The sequence below is a fragment of the Homo sapiens genome, chromosome 17 (assembly GCF_000001405.40).
Source record: "Homo sapiens chromosome 17, GRCh38.p14 Primary Assembly".
Classification (NCBI taxonomy): Eukaryota; Metazoa; Chordata; class Mammalia; order Primates; family Hominidae; genus Homo; species Homo sapiens.
The window spans coordinates 32,529,308-32,550,404 of NC_000017.11; the positions used below are offsets into that span (position 1 = coordinate 32,529,308).

Here is a 21,097-nt window from a genome sequence, read left to right on the forward strand (position 1 = left end):
GAGGCTATAGCAGGAAGCAGGTGAGGTGTCCCTCCAGAGACGTGAGCTGCCTGGACAGAGAGGAGGGAAGAAACCCACCAGAAAAGGGGCGGGTGGGGAGGGCAGGACCTGTTTTGCAGTTGTAAGTTTCTCCCTTAAGAAGAATACAGAGTAAGGGATGCTAGACCCTTTTCTGTTTCATCTGAAAACACTTTCCACAGGGGTAAACTCTATAATCGTGTGTGTGTGTGTCTCTAATGCAGGGGCAATGAGCTGCTGGGTGTGCTTTGTGGATGTGGCCAGGATGGGCTCAGGGGGTGCTGCTTTCAGGTGGGTGAGACTCACATGGACATATGTGGGTGGGCAGGTGCCTTTTGCTTAAGGAATGGCATCAGGCCCAGGATGCTAATGTGTTTCTATGGGCTGTCTGAGAGAAGACAGGGAAGGGGCACAGGCGGTGAGAGATTTCCCGGATGAGACATGAACACTCCTCTCCACGATCATGGCTGCCTTCCAAGAGGCTCTCCAGGGACAGCGCTCCTCACCGTGGGGGAGGCCCCGTGCTGACTCCCAACGCGTAAACAAACACGGGGAGCCAGGCAGTCTTCCCACTGTACCTGGGCTCCACAACCTCAAAGGCTCCCAGCTGTATCTCCACTTGAACAATAGCGTTTTAAACTCCTTGGTTCATTACCAGTCTGCATCACCTATTCAGCATTCACAAGGTATACAGCACTAGAGGAGGTTTCGTGGAGCTCTGTGGTAAAAGTAGATGGCAGAGTCTCAGTTCTCCAGGGACAATGAGACAAATATAAATTAAAAAACATAGGTGACAGTTATCTAAGGCATGTGACACCAAGGACAGGCAAGGAGCCCGATCTGTGTTCATCGAGCCGCTCCATTACACTCTGTCTGTGGTCTTGGGAAAATCACAGAACCTCTCTAAGCCTTTTTGTCCATCTATAAAATAGGCTTAATACATTTAAAAATGGCTTAGAAGATTTTGAGAATTAAATGAGATAATGTACGTGAAAGCCCTTTAAAACTATAATAATTGCATCTCAACAAATGCTGTAATGTAGAACATAGGGAAATATTTTAAAATTACATGATGAGAAGAGAAAAAATTACAGACTAAGTGCTAGTCTAATTCCAAGAATATAATAATTTCATTGTGGTGCATCAGGACACTCTGGGACAAGAATGAAAGACATCATTCAAGACAAAAGAAAGGCTTAGTGCAGTAGCTCACGCCTGTAATCCCTGCACTTTGGGAGGCCGAGGTGGGAGGATCACTTGAGTCCAGGAGTTTGAGATCAGCCTGGGCTACATGGTGAAACCCCATCACTATATGAAATGCAAAAATCAGCCAGGTGTGGTGGTGCATGCCTGTAGTCCCAGCTACTTGGGAGGCTGAGGCGGGAGGATCTTTTGAGCCTAGGAGTTTGAGGTTGTAGTGAGCTATGATGATGCCACTGCACCCCAGCCTGGGCAACAGAGTGAGACCCTGTTGCTAAAAATAATTTTTTTTTTTTAATAAAAGAGTATCTCACCATTGAGTATAATTGACATTGGTTTCTGTCTGCTCCCTTCTTTTAGTTCTCTGTCCTCACTCCCTTTGGAGAACTGATCCTCCCTCACTGCAACTCACCATTGAGTATAATTGACATTGGTTTCTGTCTGCTCCCTTCTTTTAGTTCTCTGTCCTCACTCCCTTTGGAGAACTGATCCTCCCTCACTGCAACCCAGGGTGGTGCTGCCCAGCATAGGCCGACACTCCCCAGCCTTGAGGATGGGCATGTGATCTACCAATCCCAGGACCTGCTCCCTCTCCTCCATGCCTTGGCCTGGGTACAGGGCATGAGAACCAAATTGGGCCAATCAGAGACTTCCGTTGGGATTCATATATTTTGAAGTCAGATAGGCTTTCTCTTTCTTTCAGGATGCTAAGCTGACATAATGGAAGTCTGGAGCTGCCTGTGACCAAGGTTTCCCCTGTGTAGAAGCCTACTGTCGGAAAAAATGAGGCCAGCACACAGAGACTGAGAGGAGTGGAGAAAGAGAGCTGGGTTGGGAGGAGAAGAAAAGGATCTTGATGGTGATCACGTCCTTGGTTCTAGTGCTTAAAGTCCCCAGGGTCCTGCAACTCTCTGAGTTCCTTCTAGGACATTCAATTTTGGGATTAAATTGGTCACTTCATCAGAAAGAGTTCTGATTTATATAGTAAGCTTACTCTGCAATACCAAATAAAACTTGATGGAAGGCAAATAAGAATGTTGTTGGAAAAAGATTCTATAAAGGCCATTGCTTTTCCTGAAAAAATGGCATCAGCTCTGCATTCAGACATTAATCCCCAATTTTCTAAACCTGGCTCAAGGCATTAACCTTTTGTGTGCATCAAACAAAAATGGCCATGTGCATGCATAATGATGGATAGCGGAGAAGCATTCAGTGAAGGCTTGGCTAGATTATTCTAACACCTGAAAGCATGATCAGCATGGGGAAGTGCATTCAAAATATATACAGGCAATCATGCTGAAATGTAGAGAAAAGTGATTGGGACAACATTTAAGCTTCTAGAGTATTATGTGTCACTTTTTATGTTCAATATTGTTTGCTTACAGAGCAGGAAAATTTCATGTCTCAACACTAGTATCAGGAATCATACAATGGCACTCACTCTTAATGGCTACATCATCATCTGGCTGCAAACCACCATGACCAAGTAGCCAATCTGTTGGGAAGTGGCAGCTAATCCTTTGTGCTACAGGATAAGGACATTCTCAAGGTCCTGCACTGTGCCATCCCTGGCTCCAATGTGGCTGCTGAGAATTCAGCTGACAATTTCCAATTTAAGCGGTGAGAAGTCAGTTCTTTAAAACAAGTATCAGACCAAGGAAGGATAAAAACAGCCCCCTCTGTGAATTATTTTCTGATTTGCACCTTTCTTTTACCTTTCAACCAGAAATGATCTGCTTTCTTTTGAACTTCTACACAAGTTTATATCTGCCGCCTCAAGCAGGCTTACTCAATGACACCAATTCAGAAATTAAAATATTCTTTGTAGCAGAATAAACAGTGTAGTGTCAACGTCTCATGGTGACCCACGGCCTTAAAAGAGGTGCCCTTAGTCGGGCGAATATTAAAAGTAGAAGAAGGGGCCGGACACAGTGGCTCATGCCTGTAATCCCAGCACTTTGGGAGGCTGAGGTGGGTGGATCATGAGGTCAGGAGATCGAGACCATCCTGGCTAACAAGGTGAAACCCCGTCTCTACTAAAAATACAAAAAATTAGCCGGGCGTGGTGGCGGCGCCTGTAGTCCCAGCTACTCGGGAGGCTGAGGCAGGAGAATGGCGTGAACCTGGGAGGCGGAGCTTGGAGTAAGCCGAGATTGCCACTGCACTCCAGCCTGGGCGACAGAGTGAGACTCCGTCTCAAAAAAAAAAAAAAAAAAAACCAAACGAGTGCACGAGGCTGATATGCTCATTTTACCACAGCAGGGCTGAGGCCCTCCACTCCCATTGTTTGGTGCAAAACAACTCTATTTGGCTTTATCTACACTAAGGTTATTTTGTTTGGTGGTTACAAAATGAATGACAGCAGGTCCTCTTCAAGAAGTCAGACTTGATCATCCCATCTTACTTCCCTGGGTTTTTCAAATCATTGAATTCTGTCAATAGTTGGTTTTCTGCCAACTATTGAATAAGATCATGATGGCTTTATGACACTCTCTCACATGGCTTTCAAGGCACAGCGTGTTCTGGTCTTCCTACTCTTTTACCATTCCTTTTGTCTCCTCTACCCTCTTCTTCCATTCGCAGGACTTCTCTATATATTTTTTAGATCTATGGCAAAATGAAACTTTATTTTGTAAATTGATACTCAGGTAATTCCATATGCTGATAACTCCCAAATCTATACCTCTAGCCCATTTTAATTCCAAACCTTATATTCAGCTGCCTCTTAGATATTTGCCCTTGGATAAGAGACAGCTGGGTTCATGGCCACCCATCACCCAAGCCAGAAGCCTGAGGGCCCTCCATGATGTCACCTCCTTCCCACTCCACAGCAATCCATCACCAAATCCTGAAGATTTTACCTCCAAAACCTGTTTCAAACCCACCTTCTCTTCTTTCCTCCCTTACTACACTTCACTACTCAGACTCATCAGATCTCACCTGAAGCATTTTAACAGCTGCTGCCTGCCACCCACTCTTCAAGCTGCAACCAGAATGATCTTACTAAAGCACACGTCTCTAAGCCATAAATCTGATTTCCTGCTTGAAACTCTCTTTTAGCTCCTCAATTCTCTCACGAAAAAGACCAAGCTCCTCTGGGTGTCTCTGTGATCCGCTGACCTCTCCAGCTCCCAGGCCTCCTGCTCCTTCCCAGCTCTCCAGGCTCCAGCCCTACTCCACTGTTTTCAGTTCCACCATGTGCTGAGCTCTCTGCTCCCTCCTGGCTTTCATACTTGCTCTTCCATTGGATAACACACACTTTCTTCTTTGCCCGTACCCTATTTGAAGTTACCCTAAAAAAATATGAAGTGTTACAAATATTTATTATAAAGATGCTCATCATAGCATAAATTAAAATTAAAAATGGGAAATTATCAAAATGCCCAATAAACAAAAATTTTTAAATGACTGCATAAAGTTTTCTGTTAATAGGAAATTACTTGTAGTATATTAAATGAGAAAATCAACTTGTGAAACCTGCTTTCTATCATGACTTCATAGCTACTTAAATAGGATAGTAATAGTAATTTCTGCACGGCAAAATTATAGCTGACTTAAATTTTTTCTTTATAAAGTAATTTTTTAAAGTTTTCCAACATTTCCCCATCCATATGCAATAATTACTTTTATTACATTTTTAAAATTAATTAATTAATTTAGAGATGGGGTCTCTCTCTGTCACCAAGGCTGGAGTGCCGTGGTGTGATCATAGCTCACTGCAGCATTGAATTTCTGGGCTCAAGTGATTCTCCTGCCTCATCCTCCTGAGTATCTGGAACTACAGGCATGTGCCACCATACCCACCTAATTTTTTAATTTTTTATTTTTATAGAGATAAGGTCTTGCTATGTTGCCCAGGCTGGTCTTGAAGTCCTGGCCTCAAGTGATTCTCCCATCTCAGCTTCATAAAGTGTTGGGTTTACAGGTATGAGCCACTGCGCCCAGCTGGAAAAATATATTTTAAAAGAAGAACACCCCTAAGCAAGGTAATGAGGGCACATATAGACACACAGCAAAGATTCTATTTCTCAAGGAGGAATGTTTTATTTGGAAAGTTTAAATCCTTAATGGGTATGAGATCTAGAGGCTTATCAGTGAGTCCTATAATAATCTGTTGCAAAGGGCGAAGTACAAAAAACAGCTGAAGAGTGCGGCGGAAGCTTCTGCTGATGTTTCTCTGACAAATGCTGGGGCTAATATTAATTCCTTGTTTTTGGGATGTGTGCTTCCATTACTGAAGAAATCCCCCCCTTTTTCTCTTTACACCCCGTAGATGTGAGACCAGCTGGAGGGCCACAAGAAGGAATGGAATTGAGTGAGCGAAGTACAGTTAAATAAATCTTAAAAACCCCCAGCTGCTGTGCTTCAGTCAACAGGGAACAAGAGGTGCCATTTTAGTCAATCTGTGTGCCCAACTACGTATAGAGAATGGAAAGTTAACACACAAACGTTTTGTTCTTTAGAAAAATGAAAATCATTCGGCTAAGTCCATACAGATATATCTAGTGGCCAGTTGTGAGAAGTCAATCCTTGCAAAGTAATACAAGACATTTGGTGTGGACCTGAGAATATTAAATTTAAGGACAGTTTTCCACCAAATCAAGCATGTATGTTATTTCTATTAGAGGTTCTTTTTCAGTCTTAATTAAATTAAAAGTTTAATCTGTAAACCGTTAGAAGTGAATGGCATACTTTGGGAAAATGAGGCCAAACTTTTAGCTTATGTGAAAATATTTTAAAGCATAAAACTGAAAATGCAACATCTTTTGCTCACTTAAGTATAATTGCAGATTAAATTTTCACTTTATGACCTAGTACATAGCACTTGCAACGTAAACCATGTAATAATAATTAAAAACACACTTTTTGAAACATAGGCTTCAATCTCTTTGAAGAGAGATTCAATACATTTGAAGAGAGAAACAATACATTGTACTTGTGGCCGGGCGCGGTGGCTCACGCCTATAATCCCAGCACTTTGGGAGGCCAAGGTGGACGGATCACAAGGTCAGGAGTTCAAGACCAGCCTGGCCAACATGGTGAAACCCCATCTCTACTAAAAACACACACAAAAAATTAGCTGGGTGTGGTGGTGGGCACCTGTAATCCCAGCTACTCAGGAGGCTGAGGCAGGAGAATCGCTTGAACCCAGGAAGCGGAGCTTGCAGTGAGCCAAGATTGTGCCACTGCACTCCAGTCTGGGGGACAGAGCAAGACTCCATCTCAACAAAACAAAACAAAACAAAACAAAAATCGTACTTATAGAATATTTATACAAAACTCAATAGCGTTTAGATAATATCTTTGAGGATCTCAGGGTGTTTTACCTGCAGAAATAAGACTGTAGTAACTTGAGGGAGAAGGGCAAATTTCTTTTTTAAGCTTAACTCTATTCCTGCAGAGAGTGTTTGTACTCAAAGCCATGAGAGGCAGCGCATAGCTGCAGACTGGAAGAGTGCAGACAGACAAGAGTTATGGGTCTCCCAGGATACAGACTCTTTTTTTTGTTTTTTGTTTTTCTTTTTGAGATGGAGTCTTGCTCTGTTGCCCAGGCTGGAGTGCAGTGATATGATCTTGGCTCACTGCAACCTCCGCCTCCTGGGTTCAAGAGATTCTCCTGCCTCAGCCTCCCGGAGTAGCTGGGATTTACAGGTGCAAGCCATCACACCTGGCTAATCTTTGTATTTTTAGTAGAGACAGGGTTTCACCATGTTGGCCAGGCTGGTCTCGAACTCCTGACCTCAAGTGATCCATCCACCTCGGCCTCCCAAAGTGCTGGGATTGCAGGCATGAGCCACTGTGCCTGGCCCCAGGATACAGACTCTAATTCTATTATTTTCTAGGTCTAAAAAAGGAAACCTATATTAAATCACAAGTCATATCTTGAAGAGGGAAAACTAAAAGAAGATTCTATTGTATCAGGTCATTTTAAACCCGAAACTAACTTTTATTATCATGGCCGAATTAGTGGGTTCTTACTGGTTTAGATATTAAAACGAATCATAAATATGGCTGTTTGGCTTATATGAGTTATAGATCTTATGTGCTGGCTTAAATTCCTAAGTTTTCAAGTGGATAATTCTAAAGACAACGCCAATTAATTAGTTTCCCAGAATTAGATTTAAGCTGGGAAATTAATGATAGTATGAATAAGAAAATATTATGCATTATATTTTTCATTTTAAAGTTTGAAATTATTTCTTAGAATCGGATCTGGGTCACGGCTGTAGAATTTTCCATTCGATATCCTTAAACATTGGCAACATTCCAAAAATTGTTACTGATTCCTTTTAAGCTTTATTACCCAGGATTTCATTTTGGTGGTTAGGAAAAAAGTTCCATGAATTGCATCCTTTCACAGTTAGAAATCCAAGAGTTCACACTTCTTGTCAGCAGGAAGTGGAGGTTGGGAAGAGTTCTATTTTTGGAGTTGAAAGGCCACCTTTGACCCAGAAAATGTGTGGTTGGATGAAAGACGTTTCTCTGTTCTGTCTTACTTGATTTGCCCAAGGAATGGAGAAACATCTAAGAGTGCAACTTCAGCAGACTTGTTTCCTCCTAGGGCCGGAAGATGACCTATATTAATGACATCTAAAGAATTTTAGATTTTCAAGTGTTTTTTCAGTCCCGTGTGGCCCATGTTACAGTCATTTCAATTTAGAGTATTCAAAACCTTCCAAATTGAAATATTCATAGTGTCCCAAGATATGAGGGCCACGATTTATTCTTCTATATCAGGGGCTGGGAAACTAAGACCCAGGGCCAAATCTGGTTGCCTGTTTTTGTAAATAAAGTTTTACTGGAACACAGCCATGTCCATTCATTTCCATATTGTCCGTGGCTGCTTTTGTGACACAATGGAAGAGCCGAGTACTTGTTACAGGGACCATATGGTCTGCAAAGCCTAAGATATTTATTATCTGGCTCTTTACAGAAAAAAGTTTGCTGACTCCAGGTTTAGATGATAAGGAATTGAAGAGAAGGTCTACAGATAGAGTGATGTCAAAGAGCAGGGGCTACACATGCCAGTATCATAAATGTTTAGTTTTTAGGGTCTAATTGCTTTTTATAATTAGCCTAAGACTTGACAAACAACATTTAAATACTCCAATTATGAAATGACCAGTTTGAACTGAGGGTTGTCCATTAGCATAGCGGTCCATAGAGAGAGAAATGAATCCATAAGAAGGAAATGTCATCCTAGTACGCTACCTGGCTCTGAAGGAAACAATGCTTACAAAATCATAGTAATATAAATGTCAGTTATTGGGTTTTGGCTTTAGAATCAATCACCAAAGTGGAAAACAATATAAATATTAATATTAACAATGTAAAAGTAAAGCTATAGTTGTCAAAAGTTCAGAGAGGGACATGGAGCAGTAAGGAGAAAATCTGGGCCACTTATATCTTCATTTGACATGGTGAGTCAAGGGGGTCTGAAGTTGATGGAGCATGAAAAAAATTTCTTGTATATTTTTGTATTTCACTGTTTCTAAGGCCCCATTTTTTTCAACCTGTAATGTCTTTGAACTGGGAAGCTCCTTACTCTTCATGATACTGTAGAAGTATAATTGGCAGTGCTGTTTTTCCTTAGTGGAATAGAAAATAATGGTGCATCTTATAGTAGATGGCATCTTAGATTTGATGATTACAGTATTTTGAGTTGCAATAGTAACTGACAGTAAGCTAAAGATAATGGAAAAACGAGTAAAAATTGGGAGGGAGTAGTCAAAGGCATCTAAGTAAAATAAATCATCTTTTTTTTTTTTTTTAGAGACAGGGTCTAGCTCTGTTGCTCAGGCTGGAGTGCAGTGGCGTGCATGATCATAGCTCACTGTAACCTTGAGCTCCTGGGCTCAAGTGATCCTCCTGCCTTAGCTTCCTGAGTAGCTGGGACTACAGGTATGCAACACTGCACCTGGATAATTATTATTATTATTATTATTTTTTTTTTTGTAGAGATGGGGTCTTGCTGTGTTGTCCAGGCTGGTCTTGAACTCCTGGACTCAAGTGATCCTTGAGGCTTGGTGTCCAAAAGCATTGGGATTATAGGCATGAGCCACCATGCCTGCCCTAAACTACCATCTTTTATAGTCAAAGGTCAATAGATGATGTCCACATGTATGTTCACTGCAGTACTATTCACAATAGCAAAGACATGGAATCAACCCAAATGACCATCAATGATAGACCGGATAAAGAAAATGTGATATATATACACCATGGAATACTATGCAGCCGTAAAAACGAATGAGATCATGTCCTTTGCAGGAACATGGGTGGAGCTGGAAGCCATAATCCTCAGCAAACTAACACAGGAACAGAAAACCAAACACCGCATGTTCTTGCTCATAAGTGAGAGCTGCTGAACAATGAGAACACATGGACACAGGGAGGGGAACATCACACACAAGAGGCCGGTTGTGGGTGGGGGTTGGGGGAGAGAGAGAGAGTCAGGATAAATAGCTAATGCATGCTGGGCTTAATACCTAGGTGATAGGTTGACTGGTGCAGCAAACCACCATGGCACATGTTTACCTACGTAACAAACCTGCACATCCTGCACATGTATCCTGGAACTTAAAATAAATAAATAAATAAAATAGATGATGTTCAAATATGACTTTTTTTAAAGGCCTGGCTCTGTGGCTCATGCCTGTAATGCCAGCACTTTGGGAGGCCGAGGCAGGAGGATCGTTTGAGCCCAGGTGTTCAAGACCAGCCGAGGTGACGTAGGAAGACCCTGTCTCTACACACACACACACACACACACACACACACACACACACACACACACACAGAGCAGCATGTTATCTTTTCATTTAAAACCCTTTCACTTTGATTTTTTTAAAAACCATACTGTATTAGTTTCTTATGGCTGCTGTAAAAAATTACCATAAACTTAGCGGCTTAAAACAACAGGAAATTACTTTTTTACAGTTCTGGAGTCCAAAAGTCTGAAATCAAAGTGTGAGCAGGGCCATGTTCCCTCCAGAGCCTCTAGGGTTCTCTGTCTCTTCCAGCTTCGGGTGGCTGCCAGCACTCCTTGACTTGTGGCTTCATCATTGTAGTCTCTGCCTCTGTCTTCCCACTGCCTTCTCTGTGAGTGTTAAATCTCCCTCTACCTTTCTTTTATAAGGATTTATTAGTGCCACGTAGGGCTCACCTGAATAATCCAGGATAATCTAATTTCGAGATTCTTAATTAAATCTGCAAAGAGCCTTTTTCCAAATAAGATAATATTCACAGGTTCTAGGGATTAGAACATGAACATCTCTTTGGGAATCATCATTAGCCTGCCACACATGTATAAGCATTAGTTTGATTTTTAAAAATGAGAAGTTTTAGGTCATTCTACAACTTTAAGTCCTTCAGTCACTTTCCATAACTCACAGAATCAAGTTCAAATAATGTATTGGTTAAAAATACGGTCTCTAAACCAAAAGCACAAGCAACAAAAGAAAATATAGATAAACTGAATTTCGTCAAGATCAAAAACTTTTGTGCTTCAAAGGATACTGCCAAAAAAAAGAAAAGAGGCCGGACACAGTGGCTCATGCCTGTAATCCCAGCACTTTGGGAGTCTGAGGCAGGCGGATCATCTGAGGTCAGTAGTTCAAAACCAATCTGCCAACATGATGAAACCCCGTCTCCACTAAAAGTACAAATTAGCCAAGTGTAGTAATCCCAACTACTCGGGAGGCTGAGGCAGGAGAATTGCTTGAACTCAGGAGGGAGAGGTTGCAGCGAGCCGAGATCGCGTCACTGTACTCCAGTCTAGGTGACAGAGAGAGACTATCTCAAAAAAAAAAAAAAAAAAAAGTAAAGTGAAAAGAAAACCCACAGAATAGAAAAAAACTTTGCAAATCATATATCTGATAAGGAACTTGTATCTAGACTACATAAAGAACTCTTAGAACTCAATAATAAAAAGACAGCCCAGTTGAAAAGTAGACAAAGGATCTAAATAGATATTTTTAAAAGAAGATATACAAATAGCCAATAAGCACATGAAAACATACTTTACACCTTTAGTTATCAGGGAAATGCAAATCAAAACTACACTGAGATACCTTTTCATATCGATTAGGATGACTATAATCAAAAAGACAGATAATGGCCATGCATGGTGGCTCACTCCTGTAATCCCAGCACTTTGGGAGGCTGAGGTGGGCGGATCACTTGAGGTCAGGAGTTCGAGACCAGCCTGGACAACATGGTGAAACCCCGTCTCTACTAAAAATACAAAAATTAACTAGGCATGGTGGTGTGGGCCTGTAATCCCAGCTACTCAGGAGGCTGAGGCAGGAGAATTGCTTGAACCTGTAAGGCAGAGGTTGTAGTGAGCCGAGATTGTGCCACTGCACTCCAGCCTGGGTGACAGAGTGACTTCGTCTCAAAAAAAAAAAAAAAAAAAAAGACAGTAAGTGTTGGCAAGGAATGGAGAAATTAGAAGCTTCATACGCTGCTGGTAGAAATACAGTGGTCACCTGCTTTGGGAAATGGTTTGGCAGTTCCTCAAAAAGTTAAAGATATGGTTTACTATATGACTCAAATATTTAACTCAAGAAAAATGAAATCATGTCCATACAAAAACTTATATCCACAAGTTCAAAGCAGCATTATTCATAATAGCCAAAAAGTGGAAACAACTGAAATGTTTATCCACTGACAAACAGGTGAATACAATGTGGTCTATCTATACAGTGGAATATTATTTGGCAATAAAAGGGAATGAAGTCCTGATACATGCTACAACATGGATGAACCTTGAAAATGTTACGCCAAGAGGAAGAAGCTGGTCACAAAGGACCACATATTATATAATCCTGTTGATATGAAATGTCCAGTGTAGGCAAAGCTACAGGGGCAGAAAGTAGATTAGTGATTGCCTAGAGTTGGGTGGGGACTTTCAGAGAATGGGGGTGACTGCCAAAGGGTTTTCATTTATGATAATTATTTCTAAATTGATTATGGTCATAGTTGCACAACTCTGAATATACTAGAAACCTTTGAATTGCATACTTCAAGTGAGTGAATTGTATGGTATGTGAATTTATATCACAATAAAGCTCTTTAGATAGTTAGCTAGAAAGTATCTAGAATCAGAGAGTGGTCCAGTCCCAGCTCCAAGAGAATGTGCAGGTGGATTAAAGCAAAAATTCATGTAAAACTTTTGCACAGGACCTGGCACGCAGTAGGTACTCGATGTGTGCATTCTTATTATTCACCTGGCATTTGAAGCTTCCTAGGACTAGGCCCCTGCCTATCTCTAACCTCCTTTTCATCCCTGTAACTCTCCTCCAGGGTGCTTCCCCGCCCCACCCCCTTAGGCAGGTATACTTAACTCTTTGCCTTCCCTGAAACAGCTTCAGCACATCCTGCTTTTACTGTAATACTCTCTTTTCCTCCCCTAACTTCACCCGGCTAATTCCTCTCTTCTTCCTCCTCCGTGTTTCCTCAGCTGTAGCTCTTTCCAGGAAGCTCCCCCAAGGGCTCTGAGACTGTCCTTCCCTCTCCACCAGGTTTGCAGCTCCTTCTAGGAACCCCTGGCTCCCAGAACACACATCTATGACAGCACTTACCCTTCTCAGAGGTATTTGTCTGTGTGCCTCATGTCTTATTCACCTTTTACATTCAGTGACTTGCACAGTGAAAAAGAGTAAGAAATCGAAGTGCCAAATAACCACCGGGCCGACAGAGGATTATCATGGCACCAGCAGTTATAACAAAAAAAGAAAAGAAAGCATTTTCCACTTCTCTATCCAGACTGAAGAACCTCTCTGTTTTCTGGGGCTGAGGAGCCTGGCACACTGCTATTGTGCCTTATCTTAAATGCATATGTGTGCAGACCTGCCCTGCTTCTGCCTCCGTGGTGCGACAGGGAGGGGTGGCCCACTGGCTGTCTTGTGACACTGGTGAAGTCCTATTTCAGCTGTGGTTTTGTCAGTTTATTAACACTTTATTGATCCTCATGTCCAAACATGTGTATTAATGAGAAGGGACGTCCAAAGAGCAAAAGCAGTATGCTGTTCACACCCGGCAGCATGTGAAAACTGCATTTGCAAACCCTGTAGGAGGTAACGCTAAAAAAAAAAAAAAAAGCCAACAGTTAGGGGACAAGAAGGAATGACTAGTTGCTAAATATTTCCCGTATCAATGGTATTTCAGGAATATCTAAATATTTCCTGATCAATATATGAATGACTAGTTTCTAAATATTTCCTGTATAAGCACAGTCCAGTGAGGCCTGTGGGAAGCTGCCCTCCAACCCTTAGAAGTAGTGAGTTCCCTAACCCCAGAGGTATCCAAGCAAGGGTGGGACACTTTGGGGAGCATAGCCTACAGAGGAAGCTGGATTTCATGATCATTAGCTCCACTCCGACCCTGGGATTCAATGATTATAAATTACGTATCTGGGCCGGGCACGGTGGCTCACACCTGTAATCCCGGCACTTTGGAAGGCCGAGGCAGGTGGATCACGAGGTCAGGAGATCGAGACCATCCTGGCTAACACGGTGAAACCCCGTCTCTACTAAAAACACAAAAAATTAGCCAGGCATGGTGGCGGGCGCCTGTAGTCCCAGCTACTCGGGAGGCTGAGGCAGGAGAATGGCATGAACCTGGGAGGCGGAGCTTGCAGTGAGCCAAGATCATGCCACTGCACTCCAGCCTGGGCGACAGAGCGAGACTCTGTCTCAAAAAAAAATGAATAAATAAACAAATTACATATCTGATTATTTGGTGAGTCATTTAAAATGTGAGGGCCGGCTGGGTGTGGTGGCTCACACCTGTAATCCCAGCACTATGGGAGGCCGTGGCGGGCAGATCACGAGGTTAGGAGATCGAGACCATCCTGGCTAACACGGTGAAACCCTGTCTCTACTAAAAATACAAAAAATTAGTCGGGCGTGGTGGCGGGCCCCTGTAGTCCCAGCTTCTCGGGAGGCTGAGGCAGGAGAATGGTGTGAACCCAGGAGGCGGAGCTTGCAGTGAGCCGAGATCATGCCACTGCACTCCAGCCTGCGCAACATCAAGACTCTGTCTCAAAAACAAACAAATAAATAAATAAATAAAAAATAAAAATAAAAATAAATAAATAAATAAAATGTGAGGGCTGCCATGCTGTACTACTCCAGGGTGCCCTTCATGTCAAAGTCTAGGCGAGTGGCACCTGTGGAGTGTGCCTAGCACAGATCTTGTAGCCCTAAGAGGTGGCATGCTAAGTCCTGACTAGATAATCCCATGCATATTAAAGCAATACTTAAATCTTGCTTTTTTTTTTGAGATGGAGTCTCGCTCTGTCACCCAGGCTGGATTGCAATGGCATAGTCTCTGCTCACTGCAACCTCCGCCTCCCAGGCTCAAGCAATTCTCCTGCCTCAGCCTCCCTAGTAGCTGGGACTATAGGCGTGTGCCACCACACCTGGCTAATTTTTGTATTTTTAGTAGAGACGGGGTTTCACTATGTTGGCCAGGCTGGTCTTGACCTCCCGACCTCAAGTGATCCACCCGCCTTGGCCTCCCAAAGTGCTGGGACTACAGGTGTGAGCCACCGCGCCTGGCCAAATCTTGCTTTTTTTTTTTTGAGACAGGGTCTCACTCTGTTGCCCACACTGGAGTGCAGTGGCATGACCACTGCTCACTGCAGCCTTGACCTCCCGCACTCAGGTGATCCTCCCGCCTCAGCCTCCCAAGTAGCTGAGACTACAGGTGTGCACTACCATACCCAGCTAATTAAAAAAAAAAAAAATTTGTAGAGACACTGTCTCACTATGTTGCCCAGGCTGGTCTTGAACTCCTAGGTTCAAGCGATCTTCCTGTCTTGGCCTCCCAAAGTGCTGAGATTACAGGCATGAGCCACTGTGCCCAGCCTAAAGCTTGCTAAGTTTTATATGACACTAGCTTTTCTTTTAAAAATTCTACTGTCCAAATTGTACACATGATTAATGAAATAGTGGTATATTTTAAAGGAATCTCCAAAAATGAGTAGGATTGGGGTGGTAAAAGTTCTGTTGCTGACCACGTCTTATGAAGGTACTCTTAGAGAATACTAGCAATCTTCTCTCTTCCCCATTGTTAGAAAGACAAGGATAGAACAACACCTCTCAGGGATCCTGGGAAAATATGCTAGATGTTTTGGAAAGTAGGTATACTTGCATATAGAAAAATAAGAGGCAACTATGTGTTCTTTGCAAGTATCACATCAGTCAGGCAGTTGCTTTCCTTATTTTTATTAAAAGAGAAAATGATCAACACTTGTTCATGCATACACATATACACACACACTCATACTTACAACCTTTACTATGTATGCTTTTCTAAGCATAATATATATATGGCCAAATTAGTCAAATTCCCCATTTTATTAGTTGATCTGGTAAAATATTTGATAAAATGCATATTTTTAGTTCTCTGTGACTTCTCTTTCTCCAAGTTTTCTCTGTTTCCTATATCTGGGCACAGACCTTGTCCACCTGCCTTGCGTATTGATATGGAGTCTCTGCTTAGTGTAGGGGAGCAAGGGGAGGAGGCATCTCTTCCCCTTACAAGGTCTTTGTTCCATCTTGCCCCTCTCTGGCCTCTCCCGCTGAATGCCTGTGGCCCCGAGTCTGCATCTCTCTTTGGGCAGAGTGCGCAAGACACAAACCAAGGAGTCAGACTCGAGTTGGAGTCCTAACTCTGCACTTCCCAGCTGTGGGCACCTCTGGCTTACACAGCCTCTCCAGGGCTCAGTTTCCTCATATAAAAAATGGGAGCAATGCTCATCTCATGGGGTTATACAGGGTAAGTGAGAAAACGTATGTAAAGCATGTGGCTCAGTGGCAGCACCCAGGAAACATCAGTAAACAGTGGCATATTATTCTCCTGTTTTAGGCTTCCTTCTGAATGTAGTCAGTCCCCATTATTAGATCGTAAACCCTTTGAGGGATCAAATATTTATTGAACTAATGGGGAAAGGAACGTGAGAGGAGTGGAATACCATTCCACCTCTTATTAGGAAGACACTCACAGAGAATCATGACCGCTGTCTTACTTCTGTCCCTAACTGGTCCCTAGTTAATTGATCAGCCTAAGGCTACATTGTTCTACCAGCCATATGGTAGACTTTAATTAGTGAAGATAGTAAAGCATGAAAGGTCAATTATTATACATTCTTATTGTGATACATAACCTCTCAGCTTAAATTTTATATGCAATTCGCCACATGAATGACATCTCCAATTTCTGAAGTATCCAGGTGATTTTTTTTTTTTTTGGGGTTCCACATAAGTGTCAATCTCTACAATACTGAAGAACAGAAAGTAGGATGAAATGCTTTCTCCCTTTCCTCTGTACACAATAAGAATTTAAGGTCTGTTTCTTTTTCTCGGTGTCTTTTCTAAAGGACTTGGGGTACTTGGGAGTATGCATCTGAAGCCCTGAGCTAAACTCCTGTGATATGAATTTTATTGGGTTTGAACCAGGGAAAGCTTCTAGTGGAGACTCATATGATTCTTTCACACTCTTGGAATAACAGCCACTGAGGCCTTGCCAGACCACGTGGCTGCAGATTCACAGTCTGGGTCGCCTTCCCTTCACACACCCGCCCTGGAGCACCCAGGCTGCCTTTGTAACGGCCCTGAGCTGTTAATGGTTCTGATGCTGCACCCGGTAGAAATGGCTCCCTCACTATGGACTTAGCCACTTTGAGGGCTGAACAGTAGCTCATCCACTCTCTGGTTTTCCTTTGGAATTCAGTAATGAACTCATTAAATCACCAACTTGTTGTGACAGGAAGTCATTCAGATGCTGATGCTATTGCCATGGAAACCATCCCTCTGCGAGGAGCTCTGTCTGTCTTTGTCGAGGAGCACTCCAGCTCCATAATTACTGTCACCCCCAAATAACACAGAGCCATCACGACTGTGAGCAAGTCCAGAAGCAGGGGCACACAGAAAACCTATTTTGCTTTCAGATGATGAATCCTTGTTGGTTTTAGTATTTTTAGCACACATTTCTCTTCTGTGCCGGTTGTCTTTTTAATTCCTATGTGCTGGCTGCTTTCCAGCACCTTTCCTAGAGAAGCAGAAAAAGGATTTGTGGGGGGCATGGCTGCCAAGGATATTCATTTAAAAAGAACCTACTGTTTCCCCAAACCCCTGTGCTCCCAAATATGAAAATATGAGTTCTCCTGCCTTTTAGTTGAGACTCCAAGAAAGGAATCTCAAATTCAATTAGTTTACAGCCTATAAAATGCAAAGGTAGTACTGCAAATCAGTAATGCCCAGATGCAAATTCAGAGGTGCACCTCAAAGTGATGTTTGCTTTATTTTGTTTGGGTTATCTAGGCTATCACTGAGCTCCATTATTGAAGGCTGGCCAAGTCACAAAAATAAGAACCTTTTTTTTTTTTTTTTAGAGACAGGGTCTTGCTTTGTCACCAGGCTGGAGTGTACAGTGGCACAATCACAGCCCACTACAGCCTCAAATTCCTGAGCTCCAGTGATCCTCCTTCCTCAGCCTTCTGAGTAGCTGGAACTACATCACCGTGCCCAGCTAATTAAACATTTTTTTTTTTGTAAAGACAGCATCTTACTATGTTTCCCAGGCTAGTCTCAAATTCCTGGCTTCAAGCAAATCCTCCCACCTCTACCTCCCAAAGTGTTGGCATTACAGGTGTGGGCCATTGTGCCGGCACGAGAACTCATCTAACTCAAAGCAGCAATCAAGTCTTTTTTCATATATGTTACAGCACATGGTATATTGTGAATATTCAAAGATAACCAGCACCTAATGAGTACCTGCCAGACACAGCGGCAGGCAATTTACATTATGTTTCATGATTTAAATTAATCTGCATAAAAATCCCATGGGACAGGTATTTTTATCCCAGTTTTACAGCTAAGGAATGTGAGGCTCTAAGTTAGGTAAATTAAATAAATGCCACGCTTTTCCATATGCATAGTCATTAACATGTCACACTTCATGTGTCCATAGGCATAAAGGTGACTTCTGCTGCCGCAGAATCACAGAAGCTCAGATTAGGAAAGGTTGTTCATAATTGTCTTGTCCAACCAACCAACCGCTTCTGCAGCATCCCAAGTGATTGTCTGATCTCAGCCTGAGTATTTCCAGTGATAGAGAATTCACTATAGTAGCTCAGCGCAGTGGGTCACTCCTATAATCCTAGCACTTTGGGAGGCCAAGGCAGGCCGATCACTTGAGGCCAGGAGATCGAGACCAGCCTGGCCAACATGGCGAAACCCTGAATCTACTAAAAAACCTACAAAAATTAGCCGGGCGTGGTGGTGCATGCCTGTAGTCTCAGCTACATGGGAAGCTGAGGTGGGAGAATCACTTGAACCTGGGAGGCAGAGGTTGCAGTGAGCTGAGATTGTGGCACTGCACTCCAGCCTGGGTGAAGGAGCAAGACCGTGTCTTAAAAAAAAAAAAAAATTCACTACGGAGAGTGGTCCATTTTGGACAGCCCAGTTCTTAATTTCCTTAGTTTGTTCTTAACATGACGAGAGAGCACTCATCATTGCAGTTGCTATAGAACCCTAAGCCCTTTCTTTCTGGGTTTGTCACCTGCTGAAGAAATTTGGCTCTGGCCAAAAGTTTGTCCTCTAGGCAGGGCATGGTGGCATGCCTGTCATTCCAGCACTTTGGGTGGCTGAGGTGGGCAGATTGCTTGAGCCCAGGAGTTGGAGACCAGCCTGGGCAACAAGGCTGGTCTTTTATATTTTTTGTCTCTACAAAAAATACAAAAAATTAACTGGGCATGGTGGTGCACGTATATAGTCCCAGCTACTGGGAGGCTGAGGTGGGAGAATGGCTTGATCCGAGGAGAAGGAGGTTGCAATGAGCCAAGATCGCGCCACTGCACTCCAGCCTGGGTGACAGAGCGAGACCTGTCTCAAGAAAAAAAAAAAAAAGTTTATCCTCTAGGATTATCTAGGTATAGAAGGCAGAGGAGGGAAAATGAGAAGGGGCCTAATAAGAAGGAGTTAGAGCTAGGTTAAGAGCTGTCTGAGCTCCTCAAGAAGACCTCAGCAGGTCACTGGCTCTATGAGCATTTGGCAACGTGGGGAAAAATCCTGTTTTCCAGTGCCAGTGGGAAGTCACTGTGTTGCATGGGACACCAATGAGGGGAGACCTGACTTCTTATTCAGTACCACTTTAAATTCTTTTTAAATTATTTTTTGGTCTTTTTTTTTTTTTTTGAGATGGAGTCTCACTGTGTTGCCCAGGCTGGAGTACAGTGGCATGATCTTGGCTCTCTGCAACCTCTGCCTCCCGGGTTCAAGCAATACTCCTGCCTCAGCCTCCCAAGTAGCTGGGATTACAGGTGTGCACCACCGCGCCTAGCTAATTTTTGTATTTTTAGTAGAGATGGGGTCTCACCATGTTGGCCAAGCTTGTCTTGAATTCCTGACCTCAAATGATCCACCTGCCTCGGCCTCCAAAGTGTTGGGATTACAGGCGTGAGCCACCGCGCCTGGCCGACTTTTAATTATTTTTATATATATCTGTATACACATACATTTACACTGAAAAAATATATGTTACACAAAATGCATAATCCTTTTTGTTTGTTTGTTTGAGACAGGGTCTTGTTCTGTTGTCCAGGCTGGAGTTCAGTGGTGCCATCTCAGCTCACTGCAATCTCTGTCTCTTGGGCTCAAGTGAGCCTCCCACCTCAGCCTCCAGAGCAGCTAGGACTACAGGCACACAGCACCACACCCAGCTAATTTTGTTCATTATTTTTGTAGAGACAAGGTCTCACTATTTTGCCCAGACTTGTCTTAAACTCCTGGGCTCAAGTGATCCACCCAGCTCAGTCTCCCAAAGTGCTGGGATTACAGGTGTGAGCCACTGCACCCTCCCTCTTAATCGTTTGTTACAAATATAAACGTTAAAGATAAGTAGTGAGCAGGAATCCCTGGGCCACCTTCTGAAAATGTTAGCGAGGTCATAGGAGGGGCATAGCACTGACTTTCTAATTTACGAAGCTCTGTTTTCCGTAGTGTTAATGTCACTTCTGTTTGTGGGAATTATAAGTTTAAATGCACATAGCTAACGTTTGGAGAGGGTCTGCCATGAGTTGGATGCCATGCTAGGAGGGTTACACTCATAAATGGTCATTTGCCTCTGCTTCAGTCTGGGAACTACTTGGTGGCAAGGTGTGTGGTCTATGCAAATACCAATGACCTGAATGACTTTTGTCAAGTCTCTTCAATCCCAGAGCCTCATTTTCCTCATCTGTCACATGAAGGACACGTTAATTGCATTAACTATCTTATGGAAGTATTGCGAAATAGGAGTAAAATGCAGTGTGAAAGCCTTTTGTATCCTCACAGACACACCCAGGATCAATACTTTGCATCTTTCAATCCAATGAAGTTGACACTCAGTATTATCCATCACAAAAAGCATAAAACTATAAAGTTCTATGGAATGTGCCTAATTTAGTGTTCTATGATAGTGAATACTTAACGGAATGAAAAGATCAGTATTAATAATATGTTAGGTCAAATCTCCTTTACAATGAATCCCATGAAAACAAAATGATTTTCAAGCTTTGAGCTATAATTTTTTTTTTTTTTTTTGAGATGGAGTCTAACTCTGTTGCCCAGGCTGGAGGGCAGCGGTGTAATCTCAGCTCACTGCAACCCCTGCCTTGCTGGTTCAAGTGATTCTCGTGCCTCAGCCTTCCAAGTAGCTGGGATTACAGGTGTGCACCACCATGGCCGGCTAATTTTTGTATTTTTAGTAGAGACGGAGTTTCACTGTGTTGGCCAGGCTGGTCTCGAACTCCTGATCTTAGGTGATCTGCCTGCCTTGGCCTCCCAAAGTGCCGGGATTACTGCGCCCAGCCTGAGCTATGCTTTGTTAC

General features: G+C 42.9%; 1 protein-coding gene across 2 annotated transcripts in view, besides 1 other annotated feature; it reads right to left on the reverse strand.

Annotated features, from left to right (window-relative positions):
* MYO1D (myosin ID) overlaps positions 1-21,097 on the reverse strand; it is a 384,603-nt gene that overhangs the window by 36,786 nt on the left and 326,720 nt on the right. The gene's annotated exons all lie outside the window — the stretch shown is intronic.
* Positions 16,812-17,311: an enhancer, noted in NCBI's record as "OCT4-NANOG-H3K4me1 hESC enhancer chr17:30873137-30873636 (GRCh37/hg19 assembly coordinates)". NCBI's record gives its function as "activates a minimal SCP1, AML or CMV promoter by ChIP-STARR-seq in primed H9 embryonic stem cells {active_cell/tissue: H9 hESC(primed)}" and the evidence as "EXISTENCE:reporter gene assay evidence [ECO:0000049][PMID:30033119]".